The following is a 27,653-nucleotide window of genomic DNA, read 5'->3' as shown; positions in this document are numbered from 1 at the left end:
ACAAGTGTCAAAAATCAGGAGGAAACTTGCAGCGACCCTCGCCAATAACAGAAAATTATTTATTGCTTCCCAAAGTGGTATTTGAGCCCAGCGGGCTGCACTTAAGATGTGACTGGATAATGGCTGTGTGACACACCCCTCTACTGGAACTGTCACACAGGCAGCGCTGAGCAGCCTGAGCTGCGGCTTTGAAGAAACTCCCTCCACTGTCAGGCTTTTGCTCGGGTACCTCTGGGCCAGGATGGGATGTGATCCTGCTGGCCGCTTCAGTGACTTGAGGGGATATTATGCCTAGCTGCCAAGAAAAGCTACCCCTCCCATTGGATGGGTGGGAAATCAGAGGGGAAAAGTCAGCTGAAGTCACCAAACCCAGAGATGGAGACTGAATCCCTTTGCAGGGACGTTCAGTGTGCCCCCAACAATTGGAACAATTGGGAAATGGCCCCATTGACAGTCTCCTACCGCCTTTTGTGTTCATGGGAAGCCTACACATAAAGTCCCTGCAGAAGGACAAGAAGGTGTATTTGTTTCCTATGGGCTGTATTCAGCGGCTTAAAACACTTTTATCGTCCTGTAGTTCTGGAGGTCAGAAGTCCAAAATGGGTTTCACTGGGTTAACATCAAAGTGTCAGCAAGACTGCATTCCTTCTGGAGCAATTTTCCACATGGATATGAGTTAGGGAGACTAAATAAATTTTTCTGAAGTTCAGAGTGGGAGGTAACTTTAGTGACATCAGGGTTACAATTGTATCAATAATGTGATACTTCCTCCCCAGAACTACCTGATTCTTAGTGCATTCCTTAATCATGCATTTTCAAGTAGATTGAAATTATGAAAACATAACATTTCTAATATTAGAAAATAATACGTTATTCTTTCTCTCTCTTCTTCCTGCCTAAACATTACCTTCTTGATCAGGTAAACCTTGCTCTCCCCATATGCTATGACTCCTTTTTTGTCCCATTAAAGGGACAAGGCTTCAAAGATCTCCTCAGGAGCCAAGATCTATGCAGCAGGGGAGTAGGAGTGTGCAAATTGAATCCAGTGTCTTTTCCTTCTGTCTGAAACTGTTGCAAGGTGAAAAGCTTACTACCAAGAAATCACATCCAAAATCTCTCTACACAGCCTTCAAATGAGAATTACGAATAGCTTACAAATTGGAATTCTAAAACCTTAATATCTCAATAGAGGAATGAAGATGTGAAACAATAATATACGATTGCAAGGCCTTACCCCTGACAGTAGTTCTCTAATTCATTCTGCTCACCAGGATTAAAAGCCAGGGTCACCGCTAAAACCAAAGGGCAACTTGAAGTAGTCAGCTAGAGCCAGCTTGTACTGCTTACGAGAGCTGTCATTACATTTCCAGGTATTGGTGAGCAGATTGTTAAACACAGCCATTAATAAAAATTTTATTATATAGATTTATAGTTTAACAAGAAACATTAAAAACAACATCAATAAATACTCTTCAATAAATACATGCTCTTAAGATTATTTACATCTATTGTATCTGTAAGATGGAAATACTATATAATGGTACACTAAGGCACATCCCTTTCCAATTTTGCATTCAGTAACGTTGTGTTGGTAGCTTAAAATCAGTCACAGTGGGAGTATTTACAACATAGAAAATGGCAAATGCTACAAATCAGTGTTTGCTGTATTGCTTTGTTGAGTATATATACTTAAGAATATGATGAAGAAAATGTTAATAATGCAGATTATACTTTAAAAACATGTCACGTCTGTAACTGTATAGGAAATAATCTTCCAGTATTCTGAAATTTTTATCTAATTCAGGAAATAAGCTACATACAACACTGACAAATGAGTAAAATTCTAGCATGTTTTCATTTTTTCACTTTCATCTTAATAGTTAATGTAGATGAAAATGCCAAGCAATATTCATGTTGGAACTACACTCATTCATCAATAACAATAGATAAGGTGAAGATAAAAGGGTTCAGCAAAAATCAACAAAAGCACTTTGTTAGATTTAGTCCACTAAATGTCATTTACAATAAAGAGTATTGCATATTCTGTGTAGTGCACATACTTTATGTTAGTAAAATGTTTAATAAACTTATAAACATGTACATATTTATATCCAAATATACACACACTTTTTTTGATACAGCTGATGATTATTATTGCCACATCGCTGGTTATGTTCTTCAGAAAGAGGAACTTGCCAAGTAAGACTAGTTACAAATAAGAAAGAGAATACTCAAAGGCCATATCATTTATCACTATTTGAGGCTGATGAAGATGGACCTCAAAATAGGAAAAGAGACTACAGGCAAGCTGGATGGAATCTATATCAGGATTACTACAAAACCTTTTGTATGCAAAGCAGGCAAAGTTCAAGAATATAAGAGTATGACTTGGAATAAAATCTTCTCAGGGCCCAAATACTAGGGTTCTTCAGAGAGACAACTCTTACAGAAAAAAAAGCCAATGGGAACCATACAAAGATCTCTTAGTTTTTAGTCCCTAAGCTGTCACTTCTCTCTTTGGATTCAGTCACTTTTACATCACTCTTTTGGGTATCTGTCCTTCTTCCTCAACTTGTCCTACAAAACATTTGTGGACTGAAATTTTCACAAGGGCAGGGCTTCTATCTTTCTTATTCATTCTGTTAACACTAGCATCTGACATAGTCATGACATACAGTAGGCACTCAATAAATATTTATTTAAAGAATCAACAAATAAAACAAAATAGCAACAACCCTTTCCTTTATTCTTAGTTCAACTGATCATGGCTGGAATTTTATAACATTACAAAAGCAAACACACACACACACACACACACACACACACACACACACAAAGAGAAATAAGCAAAAAACTAGAGTTTTCAAAGTACAAGTTTACATTCTTATAGTAGTAGTAAGAACGCCTGCCAAATACATCTCTCTATTGTTTTCACATCAATCTGCACCTTAACCATGGGGCCTCCCTTGGCAGGTGCCATGTTGTTTTCTGCTTCCTAGGAGATAATGGAATTTAAGCTTTTTACAAGTCAAAAAAACATCAACACCAAAACTCCTTTCCATTCCAAGTCACTTATGGCCCCTTGGAACCTCCCAAAAACTAGAAGATCATTTGTAAAATAGCAATAATAGCATATTGATCTTTCTTTAAGTTGCCACTGTTGCTTACTGCTTCATGTTTTTTGTTTCTGGAGAAAGGGGAGGTGAATGAATACCAGGTGGTTACCCTGAGCATCCAGGAGCAAAGCAAGCCAAAGAATGCAAGAGATGTTCCCAGGCATCCCAAGCATCAAAAGCGGGGATACCAAATCTGCTGGCACATTTGAGACATAAAAAAGTTGGAGATAAAGACAAGAGGCTCTGGAGGAAGGTAACACTGAAATTTAGTAGATACAAACAATACAGACAGAAACCATGCAAGAGAGGTCAGATAATCACCACGATTGAGGCCACAGACTCGCCTAATATTTGTCTTCTGTTGTCTACTATCTGAGTGATGGGGTGAAAATTGTCTAATTTAAAGGCACGAAATCATGGTAGGCATAGACTCATAATCACCATCTCTGTGAGTGGTCTTTAGATTCATAGCTTTAGGATATAAACAGAGCTTGAATTCATAAAAACAGCATGGTCAACATTTTTACCAAGATAAGAGGAAATTTACTCCTTCATATGGTATCTCCTTAGGATTTACAGTTTATTTAATAACTAGAGGTTCCAGATTCTTCCAGATGGTCCTTTCTTTATCTGACTAAAGTTTTAAGATCATGGACATAGGTCTAAAATAACAAAATAAAATATAAAATAAAGTTTTATAGCTGGGGTATAAGAGAGTTTGGCCATGCTAATAGATAGATAAAGGATAAAACAATTTTGAAAAGAGAACTTAGGATCTGGTGGTAGTATGTGGCCAACAGAGACCACCAACATGTAAGAACCATATCTATATAGAATCAATTATCAGAGGATGCATTCTAAAATGGAAAGGAAAATTAAAAGCTAGCAGTAACTTGAGCTTAATGCTCAAAAAATACCATACAGAAAAATTTTAGGTTAAAAAACAAATAAATATTGAAGAAGAATTCAAGGATAATGAATGGCTCAAGATGAATATTAAAAACAATGGAAGGGCTGGATAAGTTGATAACGGCCTCAAGATTGACTCCATAAAATTATTTAAAATGAAATGAGCATTCTTATAATATAAAACACCCAATCTTTGGGTCTTTAAATAGACAGTGTATAGATTTTTTTCCAGGGATGCTATAAGGGAAATCCTTATATTGGATGAGGTAGGAAATGAAGAAGGCTATTTTATGTTAGTTGTGAGACAGAGTTCCATTCAGGCTAACTCATGTTTGTTGTAAGGATCGTTGTGGCAATACAGTTATCCTTACAACAAATACTTTGCCAGATATTCAAGAATAAAAATTGCAATATGCCCAGCACTTTGGGAGGCCAAGGAGGTGGATAACCTGAAGTCAGGGGTTCGAAACTAGCCTAGCCAACATGGCAAAACCCCATCTCTGCTGAAAAAAAACCCACAAAAATTAGCCAGGCATGGTGGTGCACACCTGTAGTCCCAGCTACTTGGGAGGCTGAGGCAGGAGAATTGCATGAACACAGGAGGCGGAGATTGCAGTGAGCCAAGATCGTGCCACTGCTCTCTAGCCTGGGTGAGACGCCATCTCAAAAAAAGAAAAGAAAATAAATTGCAATATGACCATACATAAAGAAACTGGAACAAAAAGTTATTCTGTATTTCTTGAAGCTCTAGACCTCAACAGCACAAGTCTGGGGATTTTAGTCACAGGCAGACTCCCATTAACGTGGCTAAGCACTATGCTACCCTCTCTTCCTGTTTCTCTTTCTGTCTCTTGCTTCTCCTATTACTACTTGACTTCTTTTTCAACCCCATTCTCAATTTATCGGTAATTTCTGCTGCTTCATAGTTTTAAATTACTCACAACTTTGCTCACTCATGTCTATTATGGTCCTTCTCTATTATCTCACTGCTCACAATATGATTTGTTCTACAGCACTAAGAAGTGCAGTACAGAAAGGTAACTGATTATCCCCTAAGAGTCATTGGTTGAACTTTTTTAGCACTAAGCTACACCATAGATCACTGGTTAGCTTAAGGTGTGCCTGAAGTCAGATCCTCACATCTGATACCAACATGTGACCAGGGTAGGATCCTGGGTCCTGTGGTAACAACATAGCATTCCAGGGCTTGCCCTTCTACATGGTCTGAAAGGAAATATAGTTTCTCTTAGGAAAGAACGAGGACATATTGATTAACCTGTTTAGAACAGTAGGAAGGAATAAAATGGAATAAATAAGCCTCTAAGGTCTGTCTCAACTCTCAGTACGTAATTCAGACCAATGGAAATTGGCTTGCAAGGAAGATGAATACAAATACCTCACAGCCAAGCTCAGAAAGGAAACTCATCAATAATACCAAATAAGAATTCTGGTGGTCTTGTTAGAGTCACCACTATTGCCTTATCTACCATCTGGGTCATTTCGACAACAACTCAACACTCAGAAAAATGAGGTTTTATCCATAAATGATAGAAAGCATTCCCTCTTCCCAGGGACCAAAATAAAGAGGCAATAATCAAACCCAGCAGCCTGATATTTCTGTCTGGTTAATATCTCAGACAGTGTGAAGAGGGGGACAATGGGCTGGGCTTGGCACATACTCTCACGCTGAGACTGCAAGCCAGGAATATTTTTCCTAGAAAGCAACCCAGTGGGGAGCCTCTGTGAGAGAGTCAAATATAAATTATTCATTTTCTGTTCTTTGTCTACTACCCCTAGCAAGCCTGGTTCTGCGGAAGCAAACAGAAGTCAGATGAAGGTATCATGACAGGGTGCTGTGCATTAAGCTCAGCTGAAGATCACTGTTTCCCAAAAAGTGTGCATGCCACAGAGGACTGCAGGCAGCCTAGGTGGTAGCAGGAGGAGAGGACAGTCACTGGTCTGATTGAGAGGCAGGCCCCCAAATTTGCCATTGCTCAGCCACTTAGTGGACAGGCAAATTCTTCAGTTCTGTGGAACTAAGTTTTATTAAATGTAAAAAGAGGGTAACTGAGTGTGATCTGGAAGGTTGGCTTTGGAAAAACATACGATTAAGGTTGAATTCCCTTTGGACCGCTCAGATTCCCTAGCTCAGGGGAATGCTGTAAGTAGAAGAAAATCTCAACTAGAGAACTGCAACCTTGGGAGCCTAAAAGATAACACTCTGAACAGAACATAACACTAGAGGCAGTGAAGAAATTTACTCTTGAAGAGTGAATACACCCTGTAGAAGATCTGGACCACCAATGGCAACACTGAAGTAGGGTACCAGGATGTGTCAAACCATGAAAACCATTTCTCAACAGCCACACCACGAGACCATGACCAGACAAATCATTTTCTAGTTTTCTATTTTCCTGAAGTTTAGAAATGGGGCTGGACTCTTTGGACTAAGTAAGTAGAAATCTTGGACAATAGATGGAGGGAAAATCTCAGAATAATTCTATGCTACCTGAATATTAAAAAAGAAAAAGAAGTGACTTCACACCACCAAGCTGGTGAAGAGGATCATGCAATTTTCATTTGATCATTTAGAGTATCAACATGAATTACCAACATGAAGCTTGGCTGTGAGCTTAGCTTCATGGTTTCCACTCACTGTGAGAAACTCAGTCCCTAATAGGGCCTCTAGCCTTCCATAGCTTCTTTCTAGTGGGTTTACCTTCCCTTTACACCTTCCAGAGCCTTTGTTCAAATCAACTCTTGCCCAGGTGAGTACAACTGCTTAACTGACCTGTAGGCGTCTTGCTTATCCAGATCCAGTTCAAATAACCACCTTTGGCTATCAAAACGATCTGATTAAATAAGAGAGAGAGAGGATTGAGGACCTCTGCTTCTTGGTCACCTGTATCACCAGCAAGTCAGGTTGTCTTTATGGCCTCCATGTGTTAAACATAGGGCACTTATCCTGAGACCTGGGAGGTTCAATGACCAAGTACCACCATTAGTAACTGCATGGGAGTTTAAAATAGTATTGAAACAACACACCATTCACCCTCACTTGGGTTATGTAGAGTCCACCCTTCATTATCTGGTCAAATCCCACATACAGGGAATATTTCTGTTAACAGCATTTTCAAACCAAATATGGACATTTGTCACAAAAATGTGATGTTTGTCTAAACTTTTGCACCATCCGCTCTTCTTTGGTGTGGGGCCTTATTAGGCTACATCATCCTTGAATACCTACAGATTAGACCAGGAGTCTTTTCAGTTTCATTTCTTAGTAACCTGCCATCCACTTTAAGACTGTCAGGCTGTCTGTGAATATTCTCCCAAAAAAGCTGGATTTTGCTGCTTGGGTCACCTTCAGCTATTTTTAGGAGCTTACTTTCTCATGAACACATATATATCCAAATTTATGAATATATATTTACTTCTATAGCATTTTGAGGGGGCTTGCTCATATTTTTCAACAATAGTGTTAGTGACCTATTTTACAGAGAGGCATTATCATTATTTCTTGGATTAAAGAAAGGAGAATTAAACATAGACACCTTAAATTAGTGTATATTTATCACAAGGGGGGAGGCCAGCATGAGAAAAATGGATATAAATATTTATAATAAATATTTTCTGTTATATAGACATATTTAATATGTATTAAATATTTGTAATAAATATTTTCTGTTATTAAGGATAGATTTATAAATATTTACATTTATACTTGTATATACTTATACATCTATAAGTATGTATATACATGTGTATTTGTGTGCATCTCTCCATGTACAAGATGAGGCAGTAGCTGCCTTGGTGCTCACTGCTACTGGGAGAATAGATAGGGAAACAACTGACATACTCTAGAGTCTTTCACAGAGGTAGAATAGAAGCATGAAGAGGAAATATCAATTCTGCCCTGGGGTATGGGAATGGGGAAAAGGAAAGGGTGTGGCATAAAAACTTCAGATGAAGTGGTGCAAAGAGGTTGGGCCCTGAAGAAAACATAGGTTCTCACCAAGCAGATAGAGATGAAAGGCAAACACCCTGCAAGGTTAGAGTCTGCAGGTGGTCTTTAGCATTAGATGAGTGTGAGGGTCAGGCCAAGGAGAAAGATAAGGTTGGTGAAGCAAATGCAAAATTGTGGAGAAGCTTGAATGCCATTCTTTATCTCCTGCGGAGTTTGGATTCTATGCCTGGGACATCCTGAGTCCCAATTCTGATTGGCCCATAGTTGCTGCTCCAAAAATTGCACAGTGAGGGAGATTCTGTGAACTTTTCTGAGCTCTCAAGAGAAAAGAGTCATGACTTCTTGTAACATGAATGTATCCACATCCAGCATGAATGCAGGAGCCAAGCATGGCCACACATCTGCCAACTATTGATCTCTGCAGCTGAGACAGGTTAGACATGTAATAAGTATGCCTTAACTGGGGGACAAAAACAACGTCATTAGACTTGCTCATCCTAGAAACATGAAAACGTAATTAGCCAGGATTTGTTTTACATGCAGGACCTATGACCTTGCAATTTTAACTGTATTCTCCCAGGTGATTAATTTTACCACACTTGTTGGTGGCATACCACCATTTTCCAGGCACTCCTGGGAATACTGAAATTCAGGACAAATATTCTCTCCAGAAAAGCCTATTAAAATATTAAATGGAATAAAATTCCTAGGTAATCCATACTTTAAACAATACTGTCTATGTTACACACAGCCATGAGTATTGAAAACCATCTCAGCTGTTGAATGTCAATCACACCACTCTCCTCCACTAGAACTACATGCTCTTTCCTAATTTAGTCTCAGAGGAAACTTGTTAGCTGGCCTGCCTCCTTTATCCATTTATTCCTCTACATTTAGTAAGAACCTATGAAGTACCAGACTCTGATCTTCCAGAGAAACAGACCTAGACCTAGTCCTCTTGGAACTCAAATTCTAAAGGGAAAAGCAGACATTCAAGCAAGGAATTACATTTTCTACTGAGTGCTCAGTCTCTAGAATTCTCTAAGGTTCATGTCAGGAATAGCATCACAAAGAATTTCTTGTTTATTGTTTTCTTTCATCCACATGAAAACTTATTTCATTTTATTGGCAGTTGCTGTGATTTTTGTTTTCCCTCCTATTTAATATCTGCAATACCCTCTTGGCTTTTTAACCTTGAAAGTGACATCCAATCTCTCCTTGAGTTTATTTCCCCAGCTAGTCTTCCAGAGGTCTTTCTCTGTGTAATTTTTATTATTATCATTACAGGCCTGATACAGATTGATATAAAGTCCAATCCACATATTCTTTTATTCTTGTTCTTAGCCCTGTTGGACTAGATGTTTGCCTCTGATGCCTCTGGGAGTCTGTCTTTTGAATTTCTTCATGGAATCTACTTTAGAAGTACCCCAGATAACTTCCCTAGCCCTGTAATACCTTAGGTAGAATACCTGATGCAGCATGCCCCTTGAAATCCAACACCAAGGTGGCCTTCCTGAGCCCCTAAAAGATAGGGATTCATGTTGGGTAAATTACAGTTGTATTAGGAGATTGATGACTACTTTATTGAGTGCTTTGGAAGCAAATAAGCCCCCAAACTGATATCTATCAGTGGTGAACTTCCAGTCATGCTTGGCCTCTAGTATTAAATATTCAAAGTAAATAGGAGAGCAAAGACTTATAACAATTCTATTACCAAGTTCTAGTTAACACCTCCATGTGCTAATTAAGGGGACTATTTCTTTTATTCACTTTCTCAATTTAAATGGCTTTAGTTTCCCTGGAGAACTTGTACTTCAAAAAGACCATATTTTCTCAAAGTTTCTATTGCAAACCTGTGACTAGCAGGAATCCCAGCTGGACATTTTAGTCTTTTTCAACATCTTAGTCTCTTTCACCAGATTTGATCTGCCTCTCCTGAGCTCAACCTTGCGTCATTCAGAAAAATCATTCAAATAGCTTTCACCTCAAAGTAGTTCATTGAGAGAGTTTTTCCCCCCACAGAGAATGATGTCTGCTCTGATTAGCATAGAATCCAGCCAGTTCTTTTTCTATGATCAAGGACAATTTTTTTTTTCAACTGTACCAGGAGATTTATAATCTACCAGCTGGAAACTTTTTTTTTTCTAAAAACAACAATGTTAAAATCTACAGGGGTGGGGTTATAAAGAAATATCTAGCACACCCTCAGAGAAGCTTGCATTATATCTAGACCTTGGTTCAGAATGTGTTATGTTCTGTTCCAGAGATGACAAAAGATTTAGCAGAAAAGCAACCTTGCATGATGGGGGAGCTGGAAGGCCATAACCCCCACACAAAGAGAGGGCTACAATTGGAAGCATACAAATCACAGAAGTTCTTTCAACCACCTGTGTCTAAATCTTGCCTCGCAACTCAGAGTAATGATGAGTTATTCTATTGATTCAGATCACAAAAAGGAACTGGACTTTTCCTGAGAAGAAAAATGGAAAAAAGAAAATTTGTAGCAGCCAGTGTTTAAAGATGTCCCACAATGAACCACACCTTTCAATATGTATGCATTCATGCGATCCTTTCCCCTTGAATCTGGGTTGGGATTTTGATTTGCTTGAAACCAGTAAAACACAGTGCAAGGAATGCTGTATGTCTTAGGAGGCTGGGTCAGAAGTCTTGCAGTTTCCACCTTGGTTGCTAGTATGCTTACTCTGGAGGAAATCAGGCTTATATAACAAGTCTGACCTGTTGAGAAAAGAAGTCACCAACTGGTGAGAAAAGACCCAACTAGGATGTCCAGCCTTGTTGGGTCTTCTGATGGCTCTAGCCCCAGGTGATGTCTGTAACACATGAAAAAAACCAAGTGAGAACTACCCAGCTGAGCTGACTGAATCCACAGAAATATCAGAGGTAAGAAGAAGTTGTTGTTGTTTTAGGCCACTAAAATCAGCACGGGGAAAATGAGGTGATGGGGTAGGGGGATTGTGGTTAAACCAAAGTAGATAATAAGAAGAAATTATCTTAAAATGAGGGATGCTGACTCCAGATGTTACATCACATCAGCCCTGCATTATACAGGAATTTTTCGTGGAAAATGTCAAAAACAAACATGTCCCATCTCAAGTAACAAAAAGGAAATTTACTGGTTCAAGTAGCTGAACATGTTAATTGTGCTGGAGTTAAACGGGAGTGCTTACATTAGCTAAGATACCACTTCAGTTTCCAAAAATTAAAAATGGCTTAAATAATAAGGCCATTTCTCTTTCACATATAAGTTCAAGGAAGACAGCACTTCTCTTCCTTGAAGGCTTCAGGAACCCAGAATTCATTTATCTTATTGCTCTGCCATTATTAATATAATACAAAGGTTCTATCTCTTCTGTTAAAATGGCTGCTGCAGCTCTGTTCATCACAGTCACATCCCCTTAAGTAGGAAGCGGGAGAAAGGGCAAGGAAGGATGTGTTTCTTCTCTTTAAGGGCAGGACATAAAAGTCACACATATAACTTCCGCTCACATTCAGTTCACTATAACTGAGTCACTTTACCACACCTGGCCACAAGAGGGTCAGGTAAATATAGTCTTTATTGATAGACTTGTGCCCAACTAAAACTTCTATTACTATGTAAAAAGATTACAACTAGCAATCTCCAATATATGCAGTCCCCAGTATAAGGGGGTAAGAGGACTGAGCAAGGGGGAAAAAGCATTCACTGCAAATGTATTGATGAATTTTTTATGATTCTAAAACTTTTTAACAATACAAAGATTGTTTTTCCCTTGAACATTATTACCAATGGCCTGCTACCACTAATTACTTTCCATTTCTCTAGTAAGAGAGTCTACATTGTGATTGTGAGGTTTTTTTCTTTTGTTGCTTTTGTTGTTTTTTTGTAGTTTGTGCATGACTTTTCAATTAAAAAATAGAGTTTAACAGGTAAGTTAGAATATATTCATGAATATATTCATAAGCCTGACATTTAAAATTAGTAAACACTAATATGTTTTAACAGAGGCTATAGACCTTTTCTCTTTTTTCAGAAAGTAAAATATTACATATAAATTGAAAATCCCTATGTTACATTCCCGTGTCCTGTTTGCCTCCCTTCCTCTCTAAATGAATCTCATTTCATGAATTTTGTGTGTATCAATGCACATCATCATACTTTCTCTAATAATAATAGGAATTATAGCAAACATAGTGTTTATTATGTGTAGACATTCTTGTAACAGCTCTGCAAACATTAACTCATTAAGTCTTTATAATAATGAAGAGGTTGTTATCATTATTACCCCATTTTACAGATGAAGAATCTGAAGCACATAAAGGTTAAATAACTTTCCCAAGGGCACACAACCAGTATTCCAGTAGTGGTGGAGTCAGCATTCAAATCCATGCCTCCTAACTCTAGATCAAGTGCATGGTGACTACAATTAGTAATAATATATTGCATACTTGAAATTTACTAAGAGAAATCTCAAGTGTTCTCACCATACAACAAAAAAAGACTACTATGTGTGCCGATGGAATGGATATGTTAATTAGCTTTATTGTGATAATAACTTCACAATGCACACATGCATAAATGCATTACATTGTATATCTTAAATATATACAACTCTTACTTGTCGATCATAACTGGGGGGAAAAAGGTCAATCAGAAGTGACACAAATATGGTGTAAGTATTAAGTTAAAAGCTAGAGACTCCAAGATGGAAGCCAGTTATCAGAAACTGACCCAACCAAATAACATCTAAAATATTATTGCCCAAAAGTTGTGTCACATGGCACTAAAAATGCAAGATCACACATACACACACAAATGACTAAATAAATCACTAAACCCATGAATAAATTTGGAAAATGATGTCTGCTACATCATTCTTTTAAAATCTTTTAAAAGGCCCTGGAGCTTTTGAAAGGTTACATTATGTGTACAAAGCACAAAAAATTAAAATCAATTCTCAGTCCAATTTTCCATCTATGCCCCCCAAATTGGTCTTGTCTCTGCAATGTAAAATAGAGCTCCAACTGAGTGCCACCTGGGATTCAATCTTTCATTCAACCATGAAGCATTTATTGATCAAAAGACATTAAGATACAAAGACAATTAAGTGAGGTAGAGCCCTGGAATCATATGTAAATTGTGTGCTAAGACCATGGCCTGTATGAATGCCCCTGTCACGAAGCTCCCTTTGCTGACTTTGGGACTCAAGGAGTTATTTGCAAAGGTTCATAATAATCCTCTCTCACACTCCAAGAAACCTACACTAGAGGCACTTAGAGAAATTCAAGTGCTTTGGCAATTTATGACTGTATATATTATTAAATAATACTATTTTGCATAGAAATAGAATTTCTTCACAGATTTATGAACAACCCCTTGGTCTCTTAAAAAGACATGCACTAGACTAAAACAATATTATATCAAAATGTAGTTGATAAACCAGTTAAATTAGGTAGCCTGACATGCTTTGCTGTCCCAAATTTGCATGCTTGTAGCTTCTCTGGGGAACAAAATTGTTTTTTCGTGAACGCACTACCATCTCTTCATTTCTCCTCACCGTGTTTTTATCCCTGGTGCTCTTTCCTGGGAGTTACCCTCAACTTGTGAGGGAAATATCTCAATTACAGAATTTGTGACTAGAAAAAAATCCTAATAAAACATGTAGTTTAATTTCCTCATTTTACAGACTAAGAAATTAAGATAAAAGAAGGCTGAGGGCTTATCCGAACTTCCTAGAGCCAATTAGAGTCCGGGGCAGGACTGGAAAACAAGTCACTTGGGGTGTGTCACCATTAAGATGCACAAGGATGTCAGCAGCATTGGAACAAAAATGGCTGAGATGTGGTTTAAGTTTTATGCTTAGATTGTTATGTTCAAGCATTTGAGTGGTGGTTCATGCATAATCTGCCAGCTAGACAGTCCAGTAGCAAAATAACCATTTCCTAGATCTTGATTTATTTAGAATGGGGAAGTGCGACAAATAAATATATTTTGGAAGGGAAATTCATATCTCTGTTTCCTTCTCCTCCTTGGCCATGCTACTAAAATATCTCTCATGGCTCTATAGCTTACTACCCTCTTTATTTCCTTCATTGTGCATATTGCATCCAAAAAAGTTAATTTATTTACTTGTTTATTGTCTTTCTTCCTCATCACTCTCCATTGGAAAAATTCTTCCAATTTATCTGTTTCACCATTTTGTGACTGGTCCTTACTATGGCACTTGGTACAGAGAAGACACTCAGTACCTGAGTGGGTGAAGCCAAATCCAAGTGGCAAATGGGAGGGAAGAGGGCAAGATAGCTACAGAGCCCTCTGTGGTTTCTGTAGGAGAGAGATGCAAGGACTGTGTTGAGGAGGACTTCCAGACAATGGGGCAAATACCTAATGGAATGTGAGCAGTTGAGAATAAGTTAGACAGCAGTAGCTGCACTGGAGGGAGATTAGATACACGCAGAGTGGAGTAGGAGGCAGTTTGGAGCCTCTTGTCGAAGGCCTGGGAGCTGAGCTCTTCCTGAGTCAACTGGGTGGGAGTTGCCCACGGAGGTGTTATGCAGCTTGATCCTTGTTTAGGCTGAGAATAAAAATGTTACTGAAACACCAAAATCGTTTTCTCAAATGTTTCTGTTGCCACTACCCTGGTCCCCTTATCCTCCACCCCTCTACCCCTGCCATTATAAGAAGCCACCATGACCAGAGGGAGAAGTCTAGACGGTTAATATGAGTCCAGTCACATTTCAACTTTTCCGCAGTGCCTCCTCGATGAGATGCCCTCTGCAGCAACTGAAATAACCAATGACACTGTGCTAATGATCATTTAAAACGATATGTAGGGAGATCCCGAAAGGCAGCATGCCAGAATCTGGGAGAGGGATATTTCAGGCCAGGCCACCAGAATTCATGTGCACTTTTCCCAAAAAGGACTCCAGGTTTAAAACAAACAAACAAAAGAAACCTCCCTAGAGCAGAAAGTATGTGTGCTGTGGTAGTTTTCTGAACTCCCTCCTCCCCAACAGACTGAAGGCTCTACATGTGTTGCCCAGACAAAAGCCCATTTTGTCAGTATACAAACCATGGAGCCTAAATGCTTCTGTTTTGACCACCTCCAATGGCATGCATTCCCCACACCAGCCCTCCTAAAAGGATAAACTAGCCTGCGGCAGAGCAGAGGAGTAACAATTTGCAAATAGCTGAGGGTAAATGAGACTGTGGAGTTGCTGTAAATATGTAGACAATCAGGCACCGCGTGATGTACCGAGGGAGCCGCAGCACCTTAGCCGGACGGAAGGAGTGAGGCTGGGGTTGACACTGGCTTTGGATTACAGAATTACATAGTTACTGGAGACAAGCCTTTCTTAACTGTGAGAACTGCACTAACACTTCCCACACATCTTGTGGAATGGGCTGAGCTGTGGTGTGGCCATGGTTTCTGTGCTTCTCTTGTTAACTGATGCCTGATGGGCTGGGCCCCAATATTCAACTTAAGAAAACAGGTTTCTCCACTCGAGGAAGCTATCCTGTTTTCAAACTCTTTATTAACTGAATTTATTTTATTGTAGGTTTATCTTATGAAAAGTTTTGGTGGAAACCTATTATATATCTGCCAGGCACCTTCTTTTAAAAACAGTCTTCCAATTTGGCCGTTCGTCAATCTATCCACCTGATTCCTGCAGAAACTCCCATGCCAGATCCTGCCTTCTGATACTAATCACAGCAGATTGATTCAGGTGTAGATGTCTGACCCAAAATGGCGTTTGGCCAACATTGTTGTTGGCCTGGCTGTTCCTGAGACCCAGCCAAATTCATATTCTTGAGTTCCTTAAGATCCCCCCGACTTCAATTGAAGATAGCTCAAGCTAAGTTTCTGTCTCATGCAATAAAAAATTGTAATTAATACAGGAAAGAAGGGGAAGAAAGAATTAACATATACCTACCATATAGCTGTAATCAATGAGTAAAGATGTTTGAAAACAGTGATTCTCAACTGGGGGCTATTTTGCCCTCTTAGAAGACATTTGGCAATGCCTGGAAATATTTATTTTTGGTTACAAGTGTGGAGAGTGGGTGATACTGGCTTGTAGTTGCTGCCAAACATCCTACAATGCACAGGAGCGCCCCCACAACAAAGAATTATCTAGCCCAAAATGTCAATAGGAGAATCTTGCTGTAGTATAGGATAAATCAGGAGAGAAACAGATGAGTAGTGAATCAAGAGAGGCACACAAATTATCTGAGGCATCTGGGGCTGGGGGATACAGGCAAAACACCTGCTTGCTAGGTTTCTGATTTGGCAACCATTAACTGGTGGCTCCATTCACTAAAAAGAAAAGATAGGATGCAGAGCAGGTTTGGGTTTTAGCCTTAGAGATTTTGAGTATGAGAGGCTTCTAAGTTATCGAAGTGGAGATGTCTCAGAAGCAGTTAGTTTATAGGTGTGGAAGTCAGAAGGGAAACTAGGCAAGAAAAATAGATTTGGAGGTCATCAGGATATGGAAGTCAATTGAAGAAATAAAGGTAATAATATTGCTCAGGAAAAATGTACAAAATAAAAGGAGAAGACATAGGACCCCTGAAAGATCATTAACATTGAAAGGACAAGAAGGGTAAGAGGAGCAAGGAGACTGAGAAAGACTGAATGAAAGAAGAAGAAAACTCAAGAGAGTGTGGTACCAAGGAAGTAAAAGAAAGAGTGTATTTCAGAGGGAAGTGGTCATTACCGTTGAAAGACTTAATCTTTCTTATCTGAATAAGGAAAGAGCAAATAGGCGACTTCTCATAAGAAAATGCCAAGGGGAAATTGGCAAGCACAAGTTCCTTGGCCATGTGTTAAGAGGAGGCTTAGGGTATTGGTGAAGGTAGGATCCAGATCATACTAAAAAGATGAGTAGGCAGAAAAGGAAATAGAGTGAGTGTGACCAGATCTTCCAAGAAGCTTGTATGTGATTAGAAGGAAGATGAAGGGGCATCTCTTTTGTGTTAGGAAATTAAATTAAATCCAAGACATTGTTCTTGCCTAACTTCAAATCCAACAGGAAATATAGCACTTATCTTTTTGTATAAGGCAAAGAGACATCTGAGCCAAGTAGATTGGAGTTTAGAGGAAATAGTTCTCATTGGTGATCTGAGCCTTTAGGGGAAACCTAAAAGAGGTAGTAGAACTTAATCTGATCCCCAAAGAAGGAGCAGAACTTAGAAGCATAGAATGTAGATAAAGCACAGGCATACGACAGCATTTGAGGAACAGAAAATAGACTATTTTGGCTGGAGCAGAAAGATAGATTTAGGAAGGATTCACATATCATCTGTTTCACAGTTTTCAAAAGGTTCCCTGGAGAGCCCTAGGGTTTCTACAGAGATGACCACAAGTGAATTTTCTAGATTGGAGATGGTAAACTATGACCCTTGGGTCAAATTCAGCCTGCCATACATTTTTCTAAATCACATTTTACTGGAACACAACCACACTCATTTGTTTACATACTCTCTGTGACTGCTTTCCACACTGCTCTAGGCAAGTTGAAACAGAGTAGTTGAAACAGAGACTGTATGGCCCACAAAGCCAAAAATATTTACTATTTGGCTTTTTTCAGAAAAAGTTTGCCAGCCCCTGTACTAGGTAATGGAAGCCTTCCCATTCATATGATATATATATTTTTAGCTATTTTCACCATTATTGGTAGAAACTTTTGTAGAATGCATTAGAAGGCCTTATGTAAACACATGATGATAGTGTTACATGAACTAAGGCTTTCTGCATCTTACCACAACTGAAGTGAAATAAACACTTTATATTCTTTCCTTTCTTCTAAGGTAAAATGTAATCAAACACGATTCAACTTTGCTGAGATGACGCCAGCATTGTTGTAAAATTAAATCATCACCCTAGGTCATAGCGCAGGAATGACTGCGGGAAAGCTCCCTATGCCCACTCATCTCTAGCTTTATTTTGTTTCTGACATGAGGAAGGATTACACTTGCCTTCACTCTGACAGGGTTGTGTTTAGTTCCACCCAGTGGTAGAAGTACCCATGTTACTTTTCCCCTGCTATGACATTCAGTGATGAACATGTTGAGAATCAGGTGCTACATATGCAGTAGCATAAATTAATGAGCTTCCATGTGGAGTTTAGTAACCCACAGGAGCCACCGAGACCAGAGGTAGTCTTTGCATAAGAAATCATCTTTTGTGGTACTAAGTCCCTGGGATTTTGGTATTGCTTGTTAATACAGTATAACCAACCTATCCTGATAAATACAGTGGCCTCATGGAGTCGTTATCTGCATAAGAATGTTTTCCTCATGCTATGCAGTTTCAGAATCATATGACTTAGAGCCCTTCAATCTTCGAAACTTTGTATTTTTTCCTTCTTTAATATAAGGTTATCATTTTAAGCAGTTATCAGCATGTCCCACTTTCACATTCATTTATAATTTGCTGCTCCTAATCTTCTATAAGCTAAGTAGTTACTTATAATTATTATAATCATTCTAAAGTAAAATTTGTCCCTGAGAGATCTTGAGGGGATTTCTTGTGACTAAAATGTTTTTGTAGCATAGGTTCTATGATACCCATTTTGACATGCAGAGGTCCTTTTGACTTCATTTCTTGTTTTGGGTGGTATTCTAAATAAGAGAGGCTCTTGACCAGTACTTTTTGGATAAGACATGTATGGATTACCATATGTTTAATAAAACTGCATGGAATTGTTCTGGAAATTTTCAGACTTATTTGTAGGTAGATGTGATATATATGTATTTTAAAACTATGTTTACATATCTGTGATACATCTTCACCCTAAATATATGTCTAGCTTTTCATAACAGACTTGTCACCCTCCTCTAACACCTGTCTCAGTTACAGGTTTCATTATCCATGTATTCATCTGAGAAAAAATTCTGTCATTTTCTTGGACTCTTCCCTTGTCATTCCCCCAACAAACAATGGGCCATGAAGTCTTGTTGATTCTGCCTCTAAAATATGTTTCAAAAGTCTCAGCTTACATACAGAACCCTTCATAAATTGGCACTATCTTACTTGTAATGGACATTTGTTATTTTCCTTACCAATAACTTTTCCTAACTATTTGGGTAACAGCAACCAAGTTTGATTTGGGAACCCTTTCTCCCATTGTTACAGCTTGATAGGAGTCTCTATCAAGGGATTTTGTTCTCTCTAAGCCTATAGGAATCCAAGTTGGACCATTCAGATGCTATCCCACTGGTCTTTGGTGTTTAAAGGAACTCACTGAACATAATTCATCCCATGAGGCTGCCTGAAGAGACCACCATCAGTTTCTCAGGCCCACTTCCTGTATTTTTTGTATCCTGGCTCTTCAGTATTTCCTATAATTCTGAGTAGCACCAAGTTCTTACAATAAATTCTGTGTGTGTGTGTGTGTGTGTGTGTGTGTGTGTGTGTGTGTAAGCGTGTATGCTTGCAGATGTGTGTGTATGTGTATGTGTGGTTGGCCTATTTCTTCAGTTTCTGTTGCTTGTAACCAGAGAATTCTAACTGATACATTACCTTCCAGTCTCCTCCCAGTCCTCTTTTACTCACACCTCCTAGATTCCAGGACCATAAGAAGCTGAACAGTTTCTATAGCATGTCCTACACTTCCATTCTTCTTGTATTTGCCCATACTCTTCCTTATTCCCATAACACCCTTTCTTCATTTCTGGAAAATTCCAATTCATTATTAAAGTATTAGGTCAGATATGGAAGTATTTCTACGTCAAGCCCTTCTCTGGCCCTAACAGGTACAATTAAGCATCCTTGTCTTCATGTACTCATAGCACTGTATACATCTTTTTGACTTACAACATGGTATCATGGATAGTGAGTCACATTGTTCAATGCTTCCAGGAAATGCTGAAATCCTCAAGGGCACCCGGGCAAAGTTCAACAAATATTTGTTGAATTGAATGAACTGAATCACATCTACAGAGAATAAAGATTTTTTTCTCAAAAGATGGATCTCATTTTATTTATGTGTATATATTCTAAAATTTCCAATCCTGTATGTCTTTTAAAAATTGTTTCCATTTTACTTAACAATAATGTATTGTCCTTGAGTGATGAACACCCTGAATACCCTGACTTGATCACTACATAATATATACATGTCACAAATCTTCTCTTGTACTCCATAAACTTACACAAAAAAGGAAAATTGCATACTGTTAATGCTTTATAGAGTTTAGAATTAATAACTGATGAGAAGTAGAAAGCAAAAATAGTTGCCCCACATCTCTTTTTTTTTGTAATTCTCTGCCTCTCCCTTTTCCACTGACACATCACATTTCAATGTCATTTTCGTTTCCTTCCAAACTTCCTTGGCCTCTATCTTTTCAGAAATATGCAATGACCCATTATGCAATGAGCTACATTGTATAACAGACAGGATTTCCCTCCTCTCTTGAGACCATGTGGAAGAAGAAAAAAACATGAAATCCTTAATAAAGTTGCTAATGTGAATAAAGGACAAGGATGCAATTTCTTAGGAAATTCTAGAGATGGATACAGTTTGGTTCCTCATGATAAATCACTAGTGGACTATTCAATAAAAACAAAATATAAAGAAGCAAATGCCAGACGTCCTATCTACTTTCCTAAGAAGACTGATACAAAGCCCCACTTGTCAATTGCTCAAATGAATTAACTTTAATTAGGGAAGAAAAATGCTAATCAAAACGAGGAAGAAATAAATGGAATTGGATTCATGTTTGTCTTATCTAATGATGCCAACCCTATCTCACCTGCTGCCCTTCCTGACTGATCAGAGGGTTAATAAATATTTCTTTGGTATTATCTGTCCCCCTTCTTGGGAAAAAAAGGAAAATAATCTTCCTCACTTGACTTGAGTCTCTGCATCTTAACCCCTCTGTCTATGAAATGAATTCTAAATCCCTGACCTTGGTGCACAAAGCACATAATAATTCTATCTACTCCCAACCTACCTCCTCTTTCTCTCTCATTCTACTCCAAAAGATTACTACTGTGAACTTTTCCAAGTTATCCGTATACTTTTTGTTCCTCCTACTTTAGAGGATCCTCCTACTTTAGAGGAGCCTGCTGCACCTCTTAACTAGGAAACCTAATCCTCTTTGTCTTCCAGGAAAATCTTCTCTACCCTTGTTTATTCTTTTCAAATATTTAGCCCCTCACTCTTCTGAGCCCCCACAGTGTTGTAAACACATCTCCATGTGATGTGTAATTTATCTTTGATCTACTTCTCCCTACTATACTCTGAGCTCCTTGAGAGCAGGGAGCATATACCAGTCACAGTTCCCAATATATAGTAGATATTCCAATGTTTATTAGATGAGTTGATGATTACTCACTTCCAAAATAAAGCCACAGAAGGTTGTTGCTGAGGCCAAGGTAAATATCTGGTTAATTATAACATATATTTTCCCTTTATTTTCATAATATTAAAGGAAGCCAAAAGTTAAGTGTTGTAATACAGATCATCCAGTTCTGTGCTAGGCCCAATTTGGATACCTCCTGGCTTGGAGAGAACACAGTCCCTTGATAGAGTCCTGTCAAGCTGTAACAATGGAGGAAAGTTAGATTTTTCAAATCAAATTTGTTTCTGATTACTCAAGTAGGTAGAAATAGATATTGGTAAGAAAAATGACAAATGTCCATTACAAGTAAGACGGTGCCAATTTATAAAGGATTGTGGATATAGAGATACAGTCTCACATTTGAAAACTCACAGTCTAGTGAGGGAGAAGCCTCCAACTGGTAAATGTTACAAAATAATAATAAAGTATTATTTTAATGATAAATAATTTATCTTATTTAAATAAAATAAAAATGATAAAAATGTGTTTATTTAAACCTGGCTTATTATGGGAAAATAAATTTGCTATCTCCAAAGTTCACTAAAAACACTTCAAAAACACATAAATAAATGGGCCTCACAGTACTAGAGAGAATTTCATTCATCTTCACGATGCCAGTAAGCAATCATGGTATCCAGAAATTAACACCAACAGAAGCCACAAGAAATTTCTCTACATACACATAAGAGCATAAAAACAGCTGATCCATAAAACCGCTGTGGACACCAACAATAAATGACAAGGGACAAACATACACTTATCTCCAACTGGTTCTGTTTAAGGGAAAAAGAAGAAAAATGAGGTCAATGATTTCACTCAAAAAGCTATTCTAGGTTAAGCCTTTCTAACATGAGCATAGATAGAAATTGGTTTTTTCAGCCCAGATTCCAACAGCTTTAAAGAGCTTTTCTCTTTAGGGTAACATTCATTTAAGGGATCTTTCAACCTATACAATTTCCCAACTCCTAAAATTGATCATAGGAGTAACTTGATTCCAAAAGAAGATAGCATTTCAGCAATGATGGTGGGATAATAAATAAGGAATTGCTACACATTATTTTACCGGCCCTGAAATTACAAGGTAAGATGGCACTATGAAAAAGGCATAGGCTTTAGAAAGACACAGTTTCTGCTCCTGATACTGTTTCTTCCTGGCTGTCATATTTTTGCCTGTGGGATTTTGTATAATATTTAAATCCATTGGGCATCAGTTTATCTTCATCTATAGAATTTAGATTGAAATTAAACCCACTCCACAGAGGCTTATGAAGACAGAAAATGATATTGTAAGAGACTTAGCCCAATACACAACATGTAGTTACATATCAGCTAATATACATGAAATTTATAAAAGTATACTAATTACTCAGCTGCAATTAATTTGCTTGCTGAATTACCATTTTGGATAGGAAATACCAAAAGATATGGAAGACATTTCCATTTCTCCTGATGTCAGGATATAAGGGTACAGTAGAAGAAAAAGTTAGAGATAAAGAGCCAAGGTAGAGACCAAGACAGAAAATGACAGACTGAGAATGAAGATAGGAGCATTTCAATGGTGCTGGATCATTGGGAGGAGGTATATGAACATGTCAGGTTGATTAAAAAGATCACAGTCTTAGGGAGAACAAAAAGTGACTACATAAAAGAATAAATTTCTGAACATTCCAGTTGAACTTTCATTCTACCAATCGACATTCTTCCTTTCTTCAACAATAATCCTCCAAATGTCCTGCAACTACAGTGGCATAAGAAAAAGAGAAATATATTTATGTAGCCATGGATGGCCACACAAATGGAAGGGAATACGCTCTGGATAGATGTGGGCTATGTGTTGTTCTGAATAGCATCAGATAAAAGTAGTATAGGCAATCACCTTGTGGACCCAAGTGGAAGAGTAGTCCAGGATTTCCACATGGTGACACATGTTTCTGCAGTAAGGCCCTGGGCAGGTGAGAAACAGCAGCTTCATGAAGATAGCACATTGTGCCATGAACTCTCCTATAATTTTGACTTGAAAGAGGTGCATTATTATCTCTCAGAGCAGTGGTGTTAAGATCTCCAGGCTTTGGAGGAAGAGAAGACTAGGTTCAAATCTTTCCTAAGCTACTTGGGAGCTATAAAACATTGGGCAAGTTTTATGGATATCTAAGTCCCAGTTATCACAGAGTTATGATAGAGGTTGATAACATAATTATATAAATTATATATCACAACCCCCTAGTATTTAGAAAATAACAAATGGTAGCTGTGATTTTATGTGGAAGAAAAAAGAATAGATAAACAAGGCCATTTGTCCATTTCTGCAATCTGTACTAAATCCTACAGAATACTACAGAAAACTGAAGATGAGGCTCCATAAAAATGTAACAGTTACAGTATATACCAACAAAGCCAAAAGAGGTATTTTCTGCAAAGGCTACCAGAGAATATCAGACTGGAGAGGTTTTTCTGGGCACATCCTCGAAAGTCACCCCATCTCCTCATGAAAGATAAGATACACTCAGGGGTGGTGATATCCTTCTGCCCCTACAGGGTGAGGTCTTGCCAGCTGTGGGATGCCCTGAGGGGGAGCTTTACAACATTCCTATATTCCCAACTACAACACTCTAGAAATCTAGCATAATTGACATACTTAGTCACAAAAACTGTGAGCTAAAAATGATATTAGGTCTAAGTACAAATCCTTATCCTGCCACCAGCTCACCTCACTTCATTGTCATCAGATTATGTTATGATTATTCAGCACAACTCTTGCCTATCTCTTGGCAATTATGAAACAACGTCCAGTCTTTAGGCATGTGTAATAAGTGATCTCCTCCTTACAGCACCTAAGAAGGGCAGAGTACCCTGATGACGGCCTGATGACCTCAGCTCTGCAGGTGGCTGTGGCAGTTGATTCCTATAGGACATCTAGAAGACAAGAATGCTAGACGTGGGGGAATCAGAGCCCTTATGTGCCATGTGAGTTTTCGATGAAGTCACGTAGCATCTAAAAGCTTCAGTTTCCTCACTTAAAAGGGGGCAGAAATTTTTGCCCTATCAACCTTTCAGACTGCTTGAGTGGATCAAAATATAAATAGCTAAAATTTGTGCTAGTTCTGCATAAATTATAGAGTGCTTAAGGATTATGATAATATAAACAGTATTGTCATGATCTTCTCATAGGTGCTTAAAGATGACTTAGAGGATTTTTTTAAAACAACAACAACAACAAAAACAACATATAATGCTGCATTCATGTAGGAGGATTAGACAAACATAAGGATGAAATCTATTTATATAAGCCTTTTCTAAACACTCTATCAAGCCCATTTGCATGTTGGGCTTACATTGCACATATGTGCAATACCCTTTCCATGAATTCCTTCTATGCTTAAAACATCCAGAGGCAGTCTTCTTACAACTTAGAACCCAAGAACTTTGATACAAAAAATGAGTACCAAGAATAGTTGCAGTAACATTATCTAGTGTTCCAGGTATTTATTGCTATATAATAAATCAACCCAAATTCAATGGCATAAAACAACCATCATTTCATTATGCTCACAGATTCTGTGGGCCAAGAATTCAGACAGGGTACAGCAATGATGGTTTGTCTCTGTTCCAGAGTGTCTGAGGCTTCACATGGGAAGAATCACATGGCTTAGACTTAATCAGGTCTTGCAGGTTAGAATCATCTGGAGGCTTCTTCATCCACATATCTGGTGCTTAGGTTAGGATAACTCAAAGGCTGGGATTAGTTGGGACTGCCTACCAGATTACACACACGTGGTCTTTGTATGTGGCTTGAGCTTCTTAAAACATGGGGGCTGTGGCCAGGTGCGGTGGCTCACACCTGTAATCCCAGCACTGTGGGAAGCCAAGGCAGGTGGATCATGAGGTCAGGAGTTCGGGACCAGCCTGGCCAACATGGTGAAGCCCCGTCTCTATTAAAAATTACAAAAATTAACAGGGCATGGTGGCGTGCACCTGTAGTCCCAGCTACTCGGGGACTGAGGCAGGAAAAATGCTGGAAGCCAGGAGGAGGAGGTTACAGAGAGCTGAGATCGCGCCACTGCACTCCAGTCAAGGTGACAGAGATCTGCCTCAAAACAAAACAAAACAAAACAAACAAACAAACAAAAAAAAAAACAACCCTGGGGGCTATGATACAAGAAGTAGCATCCTGAGCAAAATATCGGTCAAGAGACCGAAAGAGAAGCTCAAGTGTTGCTTCTGACCAAGCAGGAGAAACCGTGCAGTAGCAGTGGGACATGGCAGTCAATGCCTGTAATCTCAATCCTTTGGGGCAGAGACAGAAGGATCACTTGAAACCATGAGTTTGAGACTAGCCTGGGCAGCACAGTGAGACCCCATCTCTACAAAAATTTTTTTTAAAAATTAGCCAGGCATGGTGGCATGCACCTGTAGTCCCAGCTCCTCATGAGGCTGAGGTTGAAGGAACACTTGAGCTCAGGAGTTTGAGGTTATAGTGAACTATGATCGTGCCACTGCATGCCAGCCGGCATGATGGAGTGAAAGCTTGTCTTTAAAAAAATAAATAAATAGGCCAGGCGCGGTGGCTCATGCCTGTAATCCCAGCACTTTGGGAGGCCAAAGCGGGCAGATCACGAGGTCAGGAGATTGAGACCATCCTGGCTAACACAGTGAAACCCCATCTCTACTAAAAATACAAAAAATTAGCTGGGTGTGGTAGCGGGCACCTGTAGTCCCAGCTACTCGGGAGGCTGAGGCAGGAGAATGACATGAACCCAGGAGGTGGAGCTTGCAGTGAGCCGAGATAGCACCAGTGAACTCCAGCCTGGGTGACAGAGCGAGACTCCGTCTCAAAAAAATAAAATAAAATAAAATAAATAAGAAACCATGCAGTATCACCATGACTAGTACAGTTTCACAGGGAGAGGGGCAGACTGTAATAGCAGGTCACATTGCAAAAGGAATGTGTTAGAATATTAGATATTTTTACAACCATCTCTGGAAAATACAATGTGCCACGCTGGAAGTGGGTAAAATCTAGGATTGGTTCTCTGACCTCAATAGGGCTGAATGAAATTTTTAAAAATCAGCTAAAATTATAGGACAGGTTTTTACAGACGCAAGACACAGAGACAAAATGGCCTTAATGCATTGTCTATGGTAACGTGGAATAAATTTTCCACTGAAAGGAAGATTTTGGGGAACCAATTGCTATCTCATGGAACAACATGAAGGGCATAAAACATTTAATATTGTTGGGATGAAGTGGCTACTTTCCAAAGACTGATAAATTGATACCATGGGCTAAAATAATCTCTGTCTTGCTGCTTCACTGAAAAAAAAAAAAAAAAAAAAAAAAAGCTAGCTGATCCCATGTGTTATTGAGTTATATATACAGTCAGTTGAGTCCATTACCTTGCCAGTACTCTTGTATGAATTAGAACACTGACCAGGAAGTGATGCATGATGAAAATCCAAATGGATACATATGGGAGGATTCAGGGGACCTGAGTATCTTGGAACTCCGATTCCCACTGAACCACTATTTCCTGAACAAATACCACCTCTTCTGTCTCTTAAGCCAGTCTCTGCCTCGTTTTAAGGCATTCTAATGACACCACCTGAGAGTTACCTTGCAAGGGACAGGCAATCTTCCTCATCCTCCACTCCAAGCCCCTCCCCATCCCTTGTGCTTTCCAAACCTTTAGAGTCATATTCCAATGTGCTCCAGTGAAGGAAATTACAAAATCAAATTCCAGAGAATAAAGCTTATTCAACAAGATAATTTCCATATATGGCTAATTTATGTTGGTGAAAATATGAGATACATTTAAGAAGAAGGAAAGAATATAATTGAATTGTTGTTCAGTCTGAATATGTTGATATAAGCGCATTTACCAAAGACTATAAGTTAAGTATGTTAACTCCAACAACCAAGAGAGGTTCTAAGTATTGGTTTGATGAGTAGACGGAAACCTGGACTCTCATTAGTGGCCCATGCTAAATGACTTAGGATGGCTTAAATTTCTGGTATAATGTAGAGAAAGTAATCCTAAGACATGGGGCCTGAAACATTGAAAAGGGTGTTTTCTATGTGACTCATACACAAAACCCTAAATATGTCTCCCAAGAGGCCTCAGAAGAACTTCTATTAAGAAGACTATTAAGAAATACACTGATTAGAAGCATATCAGTACAGCTGAAAATTACTTTTGCAATTGTTTTCTATAAGTCAGAGATGTTGTTGGGAGATACTTCAGTGGAAATGGACTCCTTAATTCCAAGATCCCGAGGGTGGCAGATGTCAAGTGGCCATTAAAAGTTAGTCAGTTTTTAT

At 38.7% G+C, this 27,653-nt stretch overlaps 1 protein-coding gene and 1 non-coding gene across 3 annotated transcripts in view; one reads left to right on the top strand and one right to left on the bottom strand.

Annotated features, from left to right (window-relative positions):
* METTL15 (methyltransferase 15, mitochondrial 12S rRNA N4-cytidine) overlaps positions 1-27,653 on the bottom strand; it is a 424,088-nt gene that overhangs the window by 50,583 nt on the left and 345,852 nt on the right. The window lies entirely within an intron of this gene.
* On the top strand, positions 4,345-4,412 carry MIR8068 (microRNA 8068). The gene has a single exon (NR_107035.1). It is a non-coding gene; the product is annotated as a microRNA 8068 (primary transcript).

This window comes from Homo sapiens, chromosome 11 (assembly GCF_000001405.40).
Source record: "Homo sapiens chromosome 11, GRCh38.p14 Primary Assembly".
In the NCBI taxonomy this organism is placed as follows: Eukaryota; Metazoa; Chordata; class Mammalia; order Primates; family Hominidae; genus Homo; species Homo sapiens.
The sequence above is the reverse complement of the archived record's forward strand: the minus strand, read 5'-3'. Positions and strand labels throughout refer to the sequence as shown.